General features: G+C 43.0%; 1 protein-coding gene and 1 long non-coding RNA gene across 5 annotated transcripts in view, besides 2 other annotated features; one reads left to right on the top strand and one right to left on the bottom strand.

The window, feature by feature from the left end:
* AGPAT5 (1-acylglycerol-3-phosphate O-acyltransferase 5) overlaps positions 1 to 4,512 on the bottom strand; it is a 52,862-nt gene extending 48,350 nt beyond the window's left edge. For 3 of the 4 annotated variants that reach the window (NM_018361.5, XM_047421938.1, XM_047421940.1), the window contains exon 1: positions 4,267 to 4,512. In NM_018361.5, the coding sequence (NP_060831.2) occupies positions 4,267 to 4,485 (219 nt within the window). In that variant the 5' untranslated portion in view covers positions 4,486 to 4,512. Of the gene's footprint in view, positions 1 to 3,611; positions 3,674 to 4,266 lie in introns of all 4 variants that reach the window. The other variant, XM_047421939.1, reaches the window with a different exon arrangement.
* Positions 4,119 to 4,358: a silencer, noted in NCBI's record as "silent region_18884". NCBI's record gives its function as "represses an Ori minimal core promoter by ATAC-STARR-seq in GM12878 lymphoblastoid cells {active_cell/tissue: GM12878}" and the evidence as "EXISTENCE:reporter gene assay evidence [ECO:0000049][PMID:35858748]".
* Positions 4,419 to 4,758: a silencer, noted in NCBI's record as "silent region_18883". NCBI's record gives its function as "represses an Ori minimal core promoter by ATAC-STARR-seq in GM12878 lymphoblastoid cells {active_cell/tissue: GM12878}" and the evidence as "EXISTENCE:reporter gene assay evidence [ECO:0000049][PMID:35858748]".
* The window catches only part of MCPH1-AS1 (MCPH1 antisense RNA 1), a 92,607-nt gene continuing 84,061 nt past the window's right edge, over positions 4,945 to 13,490 (top strand). The window contains exon 1 of the long non-coding RNA NR_125386.1: positions 4,945 to 5,013. This is a non-coding gene — a long non-coding RNA (MCPH1 antisense RNA 1). The remainder of the gene's footprint in view (positions 5,014 to 13,490) is intronic.

Raw genomic sequence — 13,490 nt, 5'->3', positions numbered from 1 at the left:
TACAAAAACTTTTAAAAATTAGCTAGAAATAATGGCACGGCAGCTACTCCGGAGGATCACTTGAACCCAGGCATTCAAGGCTGCAATGAGCAATGATGGTGCCACCGCACCAGAGCCTGGGTGACAGAAGAAGACCCTGACTCAAAAAAACCCAAACCCCAATCTATTACGTGTTGATTAATTTTTTGGCCTACAAATTTCAATGATCAGTTTTCAGTGTATTGCATAGGAATGGGGGAAAAGAAATTTTTTAAAAAAGAAGCAAAGAAAAAAGAATTCTGACATTTGAAGACATCCTATTAACATTTATCAGCTTCACAGAACATGCTAAAAAGATTTGTCATTATTTATCATAACGATTACAGTTATTGTTTATGCAGCTATCTCAACATTTAGGATATATCTAGATTCCTAGGATAGAATTCTAGGCTATAAACTAACATAAATCTAGTTTCACGTTAACTCACGATGATAGAATTTAAGGTAACTTCATTCCTTTTTCATGAGTCCTACCCAATCCTCTGTCAGTACTCCAACTTTCCTTTTAATTTCCCATAAGTTTTCCTTAAACTCCAGCTCAAGGATATATATACGGCCTCTTACTCTGAGTCTCTAAGCATTCCACATTCAAGTTACTTCCTATCCTATAGATAGGGCTTTTAAGTGGCAAACAAACCAAACACCAGTATATTCACCACATCATACATAATTAATTGTCTTAGAAGTTATATCACCTTTAATTTATCAGGATTTCAGTTATTTCCATATATATATATATATAATCACAAGATGGTAATTTCAGAATCAGATAAGAATTAAAAGAATACCGAAATATGAATAAGTTGGTTATTATACAGAATGCAGATTTGTTCCGAAAATAAAACAGTTAATCAAATGTTCTACTTAAGGGATATGTGAAGGTAAATCTGTAAATAAGAAACTAAAAGATTATGGGAAAGTAAGTAAACTTATTACAGAAAACCAGGTTCTCTGTTAAAGAAAGCAGAGACCAAAATGCTTTAATACGTAAATACCTAAAGAAATAAGGCAAGTTAAACTACGAAATAACTACAAAATACTGAATAGGCAGAACTATGGAGTTCATTGTTGTGGGGGAATGAAGGGCAGCCCCTCAAAAAATGTGTCCACATCCTAAGCCCTGGAACCTGTGAATGTTTTCTTATTTGGAAAAAGGCTCTTTGCAGTTATAATTAAGGATCTTGAGATGAAGAGATCATCCCGGAATATCCAGGTGGGCTCTAAACCCAATGACAAGCATCCTTCTAAGAGAAAGGGAGAGTGAGATGTGAGACAGAAGAGGTGGCAGCAAGGACTGTAAGGCAGAGGTTAAAGTGATGGGGCCCCAAGCCAAGGAATGCCACCAGTCACCAGAAGTTGAAACCCACAAGAACGGATTCCCCCTAGGGCCTCCAGAGGGAGTAAAATTGAGCCTACACCTTGATTTCAAAGTGCTGGCCTCCAGAATCACGAGAACTTAAGTTCTATTATTTTAAGCCGCTTAGTTTGAGGTGATCTGTTTTGGCAGCACAGGAAAGTAACACAGGTACTTGAATCAATGCCTCTCAACACAGTAGAGAGACTTAACTGGATTTTCAATAGTCTCAAATTACGTGAAATATAAAAAAGCTTATAAAATTCTTATTACTTATTCTAAAGAAATAAATGGTGAAGAAAGTACCCATTTGAGTTTCAGTACCAATGAGAGATTCTGGAAGGACCTAAAAGGATAAACGAGTTATAAGGAACAATTTTAGCAGCACTGACTGAAATATTTCTCTATCTCAGAGATACATATGAAAATAAAGTAGTGAAATTGGGGAAGAAAAAGGTATTTACCCAGAATCCAAGAAAAATCCAACTAAATTTGTTGGAAGCAGGTTTACCTGCCAAGCACAGATCATAAATCTCATGGACCTACTACTACTTCTCTTCAGCTTAAAAATTCTATGTAAAAGAAAATATTCTTCTGCAAGAACTACTGTGAACCACTTATTTTTTAAACCTAGAGTTGAAAGGTGTAAAAATGTCATTTAAAAAAAATTTTATTTTAAAATGCCTCTTTAATATATATAAATTAATAAACCTTTTATTTAAAAACTTATAACCTCTTAAATTACTAAAACTCCCTTCAGAAATGAGTCAACAATACTTTATACAGAACAAGAGAATCATCACTAGCCTTGCAAACGAAAGCTGATAAAAACAATTCAAGAAAAAAAGAGTGTCCTAACAAAACAAGAAAAGCAAGCTAAAAATTTTAATCAAAACATCTCAGTGACAAAGTTAATGGTACAAAGTCACAGGTAAAAAATAAGGTGACAGAACATCACTATAAATCTTTTTCCTTTGGGTCTTATGTTTGAAGATAGCTATTTATTCCTCTATTGATTTAATCTTAACAGAAACAATAAAAAATATTGAAAGGTAGCTTTGTGTACACAGGAAACCCAGATTGCAGAAAAAGACCCTAATAAATTCAAAATACCCTGCTCTGTTACTAAACAGAAAATAATTATTTGTCCCCTCCATACAATAAAAATAAAAATGCAGGAACAAGAAACTCTTGGTTTTAAATTTTTATTAAATGTTCATAACTTGCATTTGATGATCAGTGGGCAATCAGTTCGTTCTACGACTCCTAAAGAACTTCATCAAGGAACACACATTAAACAAAATTTTGAATTATACTTAAGGGTCCTCAGGCATCCTTTCATAAATGCATGAAAATTAGTGCTGGATGCCACTTCCTTTGATTTGAACAGACGGTGGGGGGAATGATTAGATTAAATGTTTTCAAAATCACTTGCTGGGAAATCAAGAAGTAAATCGGATCTCTGAACATCAGGTAAGGTATGCAATTTCAGAAACACTGCTAGGTTTTACAGCCATTTAAAAAAATAAGAACTTGCCAAACCAAAAAATCCTTCAATGGTGTATTCTGCATCATATTGTGTCCTCTTTGAACAAAAATAACATAACCCGCCACAGATAGAATTATTTTTTTAAGAGGTGAATGACTTTGTGTTCTGAGCTTATATCCCATCCCAGGCCAGTTGTCACATGATGTGGAAGTAAAAACTTAATCATGATAAAAATCATACATTTAGACAAACTTGGTGGAGTTACCATATAAAGGGAAAAAATTAGCCTGAATTATTGAAATTTTTAAATGAGGCCCATTTTAAACGTCAACTACCAGGAAACCATGACCTGGAACAGTATCTTTTTTTCTTTCCAAGGAGACACTTACAGACACTGGTTTAAATGGAGGCCCTGGCCTCTCCTAGTTCCTTCCCCCCAAACAACTTCCAACTGGGGCCATCAAGGGTCGATCAGCAGTGCAACTGCAAACTAAATATAGTACCTGACTGACCACAGGGTAAAAACAGCTGCTGTAGGTGGAAAAAAAAAAAGTTAAAAAGACAAAATGATACCGTCCCATTTCCCCATGCCACCCTAACCCTACCAAGAAAAGTAAAAGAGGACTAGGTGGACATTAGGAATAACCAAGAATAAAGCTGTTCTTTCAAACTGAGAAATAAAAGAAAAATTCACCTTTTTTTTTTTTTTATAACACTTCAAATACCTACTGTTAAAGAGGGCCTTCCACTTTTATGGTTTGTTTCTCAAGTTTAATCTACGAATCCAATCTCTACAGAGAAACAGTAACAGAAAGAAAGTAATCAGACAACAGATCACCCACACATTCAAGCCCAGTTAAAGTTGGCAAGAAATGTATCTAGTTAGGCTTCTACGGTTAACAAATGTATTCATTTCTTCGCCCAGCTTTCACTTGTCCAGGGGAAAGAACACAAGACCGAATTGTACTTCTGTTTCAAGAGGTCACTGTAAAAGCGCACTTCGGAGTGTAGACGTCTCCGATCTGTTCCAACATGACCACCTCTTTGGACCAAAGGCCAGAAACTGCTAAACGCGTGCCCTATTATTTAAAACGTGCATCTGCACCCACTTTGCTAAGCAGCATCAGACCCAGGCGAGGGGCGGGGAAAGGGGCGGCGGGTCCCACTCGTAGCCTCAGGACGACGCAGCCACAGCTTCCTAGAGAGCGATCTCGGCAGAACGGCAGGAAGCATGCGGAGAGGAAGGCGGGGAGGCGGCACGTGCTCTCCGTGCTGGGTCCGCCGGGCCGGCCGGGTGACCCTCGCCAGCTGTGGGGGAGCGGAGAGGTCCGCGCCCCCGGGAGCTCGGGTGGACGCCGAGACCCGGGAGCGGGAGGCGGCTCACCTGGACCCCGGTGTAATTCTCGAAGAAGAAGAGCACCATGCTCTGGTAGACGCAGTAGAGCCGGTCGTCCAGCGCTTGGTAGAAGCGGGCGGGCAGGAAGGCGGAGAGCAGCCGCCAGACCCCCCAGGCCAACACGTAGGTGGGCGCCGTGCCCAGGAGCACGACGCTGGGCAGCAGGTAGCGCATGGAGTACGTGTGGAGCACCAGGGACAGCAGCATCTTCTCAGCTCGGCGGCAGCGAGCTCCGCCTGCGCTCCCCGCCCGCCTCCCGGGCCTCAGTCGCGGCCAGCAGGCGGCCAATCACCGCCCGGGCCCGGGCCGCCGCGCCCGCCACCCGCTCCCAGCCTCCGCCCCCAGCCGCATGGGCCGCGCCGCCGCCCGGGGCCGGGTAGGCGAGTGCGGGGCTGCGTGCGCCGCTCCCGGCGGCAAAGCAAGGGAACCCGCGGCCCTCCCGGATCGATGGCTCAGGGATGCTCACACCCCATGACCCTCACCCATCGCCACATCCCCCTGCCGGGGCAGGGGGCTCCGCGGCAACAACGCGCCTTCTGATTGGTCGCCCGTTGCCATAGTTCCACCTCGGCGGCAATAACACGTCTCTTGATTGGTTGGTTTGGGCCGACAGTTGCAGTACAGCTACCTGCTGGGGCGCGGGCAACCCGGCTCCGGCCACTGCGCATGCTCCCCAGCTGGGCCGGCTGCGGACGCGGGAAGGGAGGTGGTGGCGACTGACGGAACTGGGTGAAGGTGGGTGCTGGCCGGAGGAGGGTCCGGGTGCCTCTTGTTCTGCTCCCTCGGGCCGGACGTGCGCGCGGTCAGGTTTAAGGGTCGCTGGAGCTGCCTGGAACGCGCACCTGCTGCTCACAAGCCCCTGGGCGCCGGGATGCACACAATTAGAGCAGTGAGAAAGTGGGTGTTAACGTTATCGGAGGTCTAATTCTTGCAGGCACCTGGGCCCAGGTTGTAGGCAGCTCGGCCCAGGTCGCGGGGCAGCTCGAGTGTCCCCATCTGCTCACTGCCAGTCCTTTGCAAGGGGACGCCGCCTCCTCAGCCTCCGCTCTGAGTGCGCAGCAGCCCCTCCTGCCCGTCTCTCGCTACCAGGGTGTTTCAGAATTAGGGTCCGTGTTTTTCCCCATCACAGTAATGATGATAATTACATGTTTATGCATAGCTGAAGAACAATCCCACAAGGATATTTCCATACTGTTTATTAGACCTTTTCAGAATTCACTCTTGCTTCATTTCCTCAGAGTCTGTTGGACTTGTTTCTGATTTTTTTTTAATAAGGAGCCTCGTTTTTTTCTGTAGTAATTAAAGTAGTTGCGTGCACATGTGTAATCCATAAAAAGCATACTTTTGTAGCCTTCACTAAAAGCTACGAAGGGTGGATAACTGTTTTATTGATGTTAAAGCAGATCCACAGGACTTTTGGATCTTTCTCCTCCCCTTTGGCTGTGGTAAAAATGGTTTAATATGTAACCCTTTTCAAGGATAGTTGTACTTTAAAAGAATGCCGAATGCTTTACCATATATATATATATATATATATATATATATATATATATATTCCCGCCCCCTCCCCACCACCACCATAATGGGAGCCTGTGCTACCTTTAGGCAGGACGGTATTTCAGTGGGAAGTTCTAATCAGGGCCAGGATGGTAGCTACTTTCTTTATACATGATTAACATCAAATAACAACATCATTGGTAGATGATGACCTTTGGGGACAAAGCCAGGTGAATGGAGATCTCTCAAGTAACAAGTATTTGAAGGCCAGCAGGAAGCATTACACAGTAAAAGGAGCTTCTCTCTTTCTGTGGCTGTCATTGTCCTGTACTGTAAGAAGCACTAGGTTTAGTACTGGTGGAAAAAAGTCACAGGTGTGGACAGTGTGCACAACTAATGCTCCTTATGCTTTCTTTAACTGAGACCAGACATCTCTACACTAGAACAGTGTGCGAAAAGATAAAGCAGGTTCTGTGTTCACGTTAGGATTGCTGTGTATAAAGTCAGTAAATATGTGTTTATGTGTAAATTTGTTGTGAATCACCCCAGATTACTGTTAGTCACGAAGTTGTAAACTTTTGTGCAATGTTTGCCATGAAAACACAGAACTTAACTTTCTCTTGTTCCCTCTTTATCTCCAAACCCAGCTCCTGACTATCAGTTATTGTCTGTCCTGCTCCCGCTCCTCTCTTCCTGCGAACAGTCACAGATCCACCCTCTCTTTCTGCCACTACCCGGCCCTGTTTTTCTGTTTTTTTTTTTTTCCCTTTTTCCGTGCAAACCTCTTAGTTGATAATCAGCCCACACCCTCTGCCTCCTTACCTTGTACTTTTGTTGAGCCCTTGCAGTCTGATGACCTTTTCCTCCCCTTTACTGGAATGGTGCTTCTTTCAGAGCACAGCTGATTTCCTCCTTTGCATACCCTGCTGGGCACCAGTGGAACAGTGAAAGGTGAATTCTGTCTATGCCTTCCTTGTACAACATTTAACAAGGAGTTACCTGTGGGATGAAAAGGGGACATTCTTGGTTCTCTGGGAGCATATATCAAGGCAATCTAATTTAGTCTGGAGACAAGGAAGACTTCTCAGTGAAATGGTATTTCAGGTGAAGCTTGAGGGACTTAGTGGGCTTTCCATGGGAGAATGGCACATTTGAACGCCTGAAGCTGAGAAATCACCATATTCTCATGCATAGCACTGGAGTGGGCCACAGTGTTCTTTTTAAAATTTGTTGAGATGCCCCTTGAAAGAATGCTGTGTATTCCCATCACACATTCTTAAACTGATATTTAAATGTTTTTCTCAGCTGGGCATGGTGGCCTATACCTGTAATTCCAGCACTTCAGGAGGCCAAGGAGGAAGGATCACTTAAGCGCTTTGTAGAGTGAGGCCTCCATCTCTACAAATATATTTTTTTAATTAGCTGGGTGTGATTGTGCATGCCTGTAGCCCCAGCTACTCAGGAGGCTGAGTTGGGAGGATTGCTTGAGCCCAGGAGTTCAAAGCTGCTATGAGCCATGATCGCGTCACTGCAATCCAGCCTGGGCAAAAGAGAAAGAGTCCATCTCAAAGAAAAAAAAAGGTGGGGAGAGGGGGGCTTTTAATGATAAATTTAAAAAGGCTTTTAATTATAAATTTAAGTAGTTATGAAGTTCTGATGAGTTATGAATGATGTTTTGAAAATAAAGTGATTACAGAAAATTTTTAAATGTATGCAGTGAGTTATAAATATTATAGTGACTTAATATCCACCCCATCATTCATTTCAAAAATACTTAAGCCTTTGACCAGTTGAAAATTTTGCATTGATTATTTTTCTCCCTGAAAATATTTTTATTTCACTTCTACCACAGGATTCTATCATAATTGAATATGCTCTATCCTTCAAAGTTTTTTACTGATCAGACTGTATCATTAGGGTCCTAAGAAGCAAATTTTCTTCTGGATTGAACTGTTACTATTATTAGCAATACACAGTTTAATCAATGTGTTTCACAAAATCTGATAAGGAATTGTAGGCAAAAAAAAAAAAAAGTTACAAGAAATGCATCTCTTAAATAAGTTATCTCTGTTGGTGTCCTAAGGTTTATTACACCTTTCTACCTCAGCAGGGCAGCACAATGTAGTAAGATTTAGGATGTGCCAGGGGGGAGAGGAGCCATTATGAAATGCCAGGTGGGCCTGGACTGCAGGAGTCCTCAGACAGATCACTTTTAGAAGAGTTGGGATCTGAAAACTGAATCCCTTGAAACTCCTCATGACCACGTGTCCATATTCTCAGGGATACGCATGCCTCCATTTGAAGATTGTTTTTACAGAAATAATTGGGGTAAGGAAAGGAGACAAGGATGCTAGGGATTGAGTCTGGAAAGATAGGCAAGAACCAGATGACAGCAGGGTCTTGGGGGACACATAAGGATTTTAGAATTTATCCCAAAGGACAGGGAAGCTACTGAGATTTTAAGGAGAGGAGTGACATGCTTATATTTGATCTTTTTAAAAGTTGTTCAGGCATTGTGGAGAGTATATTTTAAACAGTTTGGAGACTATAGCTAGACTCCCAGCTAGAAAGGATGATGGTAGCTTAGCCTTTGGTGGTGACCATGTATGGAGAGAAAAACGAATCCCTCATGTACAGTGTTCTTGGAAGGAAATTTGACAGTATGTTCTAAGAATGGACAGCCATATGGTTTGGATCTGTGTCCCCACCCAAATCTCATTATCAGTCTTAACCCCCAATGTTGGAGGTGGGGCCTGGTGCCAGGCGATTGGATCACAGGGGCAGTTTTCTCATGAATAGGTATCACCGTCCCTCTTGGCACTGTCCTCAGGATAGTGAGTGATTCTCGCGAGATCTGGTGGTTGAAAACCACGTAGCACCTCCCCACTCACTCTTGCTCCTGCTCTCCCTTTTCCTTTCACCATGATTGTAAGTTTCCTGAGGCCTCCCCAGAAGCTGAGCAGATGCCAGCACTATGCTTCCTGTACAGCCAGCCAAAATGTGAGCCAATTAAACCACTTTTCTTTATAAATTACCCAGTCTCAGGTATTTCTTTATAGCAATGCAAGAACAGCCTAATACAGACAGATACCCTTTTAATCAGTCCATCTACCTAAGTGCACATCAGTAGCAGAATAGCTTTGTGGATACACAGTACTGATAAGTGAAATGGTATGCAGCAGTTGGACAGGAATAAGTAGCACTAAATGCGTAGTCGTGGACAGATCTCCAGGACACTAGGTGACAAAGCAAGTTGCTGGATAATACATGCACTATGATCCTATTTCTGTAAAAACTAAATAAAACTTTGGTCAGTTCCCATTCATGCTTTTATTTTGCTGTTTGCACAGATAAAACAAGAAGGCATTCCTGTTATAAAAAGTGTAAGCAATCCTATGTTTTGAATATTGAATGAAATGTGGACATTTCCCTCATGCCGCACCCAATCCCACTTTCTTACCCAGAGGTTACAGCTATCTACTTACGCAGTAGATGCTTGGCAATCCTTTGCCCCTTCCCTCCTTGAGGTGACTAAGATGGTCATGCAGACAAGCCACCCCTCCCAACAGAACCCATGTGATCTAGGGGGAAGCTGACCCCACCCATAATGGGCCACCATCAGTCTAGGGCTGTGTTTTTTTGACGTGTGGACCTTGAAGCCTTCAGGCTCCTCAAGATGCTTTCAGCTGGTCCAAGGGAAAAATGTTTTCACAGTGATACTGAGACATCATTTGCCTTTTCACTATTAGATTTACAGTGGTGATGCAAAAGCAGGGGTAGGTAAATCCACTAGCACCTCACTGAGAGTAAGGCAATGACACAGAAAGTTACCTACTAGTGACCATCATGTTCTTCATCACAATGTGATCATGGCAGAAAAACGCTTAAGAATAGCCTGAATGTGATAGCAAAAAAAAAAAAAAAAAAAAAAAGTCAATTTTATTAAATGTCAACTGTGGAGTACACATCTTATGAATACTCCATGTGACTAAATGGAACTTGCATGAAGCACATGGGAAGCATACCAAAGCTCAATAGCTCCCCTGTAGGAAACAACCTCTGAGCTGCAAGCTGAGAGCTACTTTTTTCGTGGAACATCACTTTTGCTTGAAAGAATAACTAGCAGATAAAGTGGTGAGTCTGGCAGACACTTTTTTCAAAAACAAATTCACTTCAAAAGAAAACAGTGGGTAATGTTGCCAACAATAAAATTGAAGCTTTCAAGTGAAAACTTGAATCTTGGAAAACTTATATTGCTCTATGAGCTTGACACCTTCTCAGTTCTTGAAGACCTTTTTCATGAGGACTGTGGTAATAGCAACCATTGTGATTTTTCAATACTGTATGATGCAATGTGTCAGAATTTGGAAGGTTGGCACAATGCAGTAAACCAAACCAATGTTTTTTAAATAATGCATGATATTTTAAAATGATGAATGGGTAAATGGCTCTTGCAAGCACAAGATATACCAATAGGTTTTAATTTAACTACAAAAATTTCATTGATATAATTTCAGACTTTACATGGCTACTAACCTTTAAGCAATTACCAGTTCCTGAGTTTTAGTGTAATATGAAAGAAGAATAGTCACATTATCTGAAAAGGCTTTAAAAATACCCCTTCCAGGCTGGGCACTACAGGTAGCTCATGCCTATAATCGCAGCACTGTGTGAGGCCAAAGTGGGCAGATTGTTTGAACCCAGGAGTTTGAGACCACCTTAGGTAACATGACGAAACCCCATGTTTCACCACAAAAAATACAAAAATTAGCCATGTGTGGTGGTGCATACCCGTAGTCTCATCTAGCTACTCAGGAGGCTAAGGTAGGAGGGTCCCCTGAGCCCAGGAGGTTGCAGTGAGCTGAGATCACACCACTGTACTCCAGCCTGGAGGACAGAGTGAGACCCGGTTCCCCTGCACCCCCCAAAAAAACCCTCCCTTTTTCCAATTACAAATCTATATAAGGCTGGATTTTCTTTATATACTTCAGCCAAAAATGACAACAACAACAGCAAAGCACAAAACATGGCAGCAGATTGAATGCAGAAGCAGGTATGGGAATCTAACTGAAAGATGTGAAAAAATAAGTAAAACAATGCTACCTTTCCTAAATTTTTTATTGTTTTTGAAAATAGTATTTTAAGCACAATGGCACAATGTTATAAAGCCCAAACTCATGGTGAAGGACTAGCCCCCTGCCTTGCCTTAGCACATGACCTTATTTGGCTATGGTCTCCACAGAGGTACCCAATTAAAATTAGGTCATTAGGTCATTAGGATGGGCCGTAATCCTTCTGAGAAGAGGACATTTAGACACAGACATGTAGGGGGAAGATGGTGTGAAGAGTTGCAGGGAGAAGGGGGCTGTCCACAAGCCAAGGAGAGAGGCCTGGAACAGATCCTTCCCTCTATAGGGTTTATTTTTCCCCCTCAGACTTCACTGATTTGATCCTATAAAGCCAACTGGATTGGGAGGCTGAGGCAGGCGGATCACAAGGTCAGGAGATCAAGACCATCTTGGCCAACATGGTGAAACCCCGTCTCGACTAAAATACAAAAAATTAGCCAGGCATGATGGCACGTGCCTGTAATCCCAGCTACTTGGGAGGCTGAGGCAGGGGAATCGCTTGAACCCGGGAGGCGGAGATTGCAGTGAGCTGAGATCGCGCCACTGTACTCCAGCCTGGTGACAGAGCGAGACTCCGTCTCAAAACAAAAACAAAAACACCGCTGGGAATAGACAGATCAAGGAAAAAAAAGCATGTTTATTAACATGCATTCAGGCACAGAAGTCATACAAAATATGAAAAACTCAAATGGCCAGTTGGATGATGCTTTTTTTGATTTTATTTTTTTTGAGATGGAGTCTCAAGGCTCTTGTCGCCCAGGCCAGGGCGCAGTGGTACAATCTTGGCTCACTGAAACTTCTGCCTCGTGGGTTCAAGCAATTCTCCCACCTCAGGCTCCTGAGTAGCTGGGAATACAGGCATGCGCCACCTCGCCCAGCTAATTTTTGTATTTTTAGGGTTTCACCATGTTGGCCAGGCTGGTCTTGGACTCCTGACCTCCAAGTTATCTGCCTGTCTCGGCCTTCCAAAGTGGTGAGATTACAGGCATGAGCCACCGCTCCAGGCCAGTTGATGCTTTTATACCATCTTGAGGTTAGAGCGAGAAGCAAAACAGGTTATGGGAGGAGAGAAGAGGAGACCTCGCACCTAAGGCAGTCTTGTTATACAGAGGAAACCAAGGTAGCAGCCCTCAGGAAGAATAGAGGGTAGGTAGGCGATGGGAAGTGTATGTCAGATTTTAAAGGTTTGAGACTCTCAGGTCATCTTTCCTAGATCTGGACAAAGGGGCTTCAGAGAAAGCCTTCTTACAGCTGTTGTTGACTTCACTTTATTTCCTCTGCAGATGCAAACCTCCTCCCCTCTCCCCAACTCAAAAGGGGAGCCTAGATTTGCAGGGCAATTCTTGTGTTTACAGGCCTTCTGAATAGCCATTTTGAAGTATGTCAAAGAAGTCTATTTTGGGGTGAAATATTTGGTGTCATTTTCCTCCCAGCCTTCACAAAGAACCAACCCTGTTGACAGCTTGTTTTTAAACTTTCTGCTCCCAGCACTGAGAGACAATAAATGCCCTTTTTTTAAAGCCACCCAGTGTGTGGTACTGTGTTACAGCAGCCCTAGCAAACTCTTATCACTTCTGTGCTTGAAATACTCCCAGCCCAGAAAAAAATCCAAATTAAGTCCTGCCTGTGGCCTGCAAGGCTGTACCATGAGCTGCTTCTCTGACCTCAGTACACAGCTCTACCCAGACCATGGATGCCTAGGTGTGCCATGACCTGACTGTCAGGACTAAGCCAACTTCAATGTGACTTGATTCTGTTGACCTAAAAGGAAGAAGCTGGGGCAAAATTAACATAAATAGGGAGTGTTTTGGGGCCAAGCTTGAGGATTGCAACCCGGGAGCATAGTTTCAAGTTACCCTGAATATACACTCCAATTAGCGGCGATTACAAGTGGATTTTTAAAGGGAAATGGGGACAGAGAGTGGGCTGATACAAAGTGGTTTGTCAGGAAATCTCTTTGGGGTTCACATAAATAACATAGATTAGTGATTGGCTATGTATTGCTAAGCTGTAGCCTGTGGGTTATAGTGTCAGTTGCAGCATTATTAGGTTAATTTATAGCTACTTGTGGCAATAGCAAACAGTTTTAAGAGATGAATATATAGCTCAAGGGGGAAGGAGGATGTGACCATGGTCTTGTTATATGTTCTTTTTTATTTTTTATGATACAGGGTCTAGCTATGTTGCCCAGGCAGGTCTTGAACTCCTGGGCTCAAGTGATCCTCCTGCCTCAGCCTCCTGAGTAGCTGGGACTACAGGCACACACCTCCTTGCTGGACTTCTGTGATCTTATTTTAATGTCTCTCTTGGCCTGATAATTAAAAGGACTAGCATTCCTCAGATAAAAATTCTTTTCTTTTCTCAACTCTTTGTTGCAGGAAATTCTTGTCCAGGAAGATAAGGCTATAAAACCAGTCAATAACTTGTTGTTTTCTTCAGGAATCGCTTAAATGTCCATTTATGCAAACAATAGACTGCCGGGCTAGCCCCTTCCCAGCACACCAGGAGGCTTCTCTGGGTAAACAGCCCTCTCAGGACAATAGATCCCACAGGTGCTTCTCACAGAATTGTTTGTGCCTCACCTTG

Source organism: Homo sapiens, chromosome 8 (genome assembly GCF_000001405.40).
Source record: "Homo sapiens chromosome 8, GRCh38.p14 Primary Assembly".
Classification (NCBI taxonomy): domain Eukaryota; kingdom Metazoa; phylum Chordata; class Mammalia; order Primates; family Hominidae; genus Homo; species Homo sapiens.
This window is presented reverse-complemented; position numbering and strand designations above follow the sequence as displayed.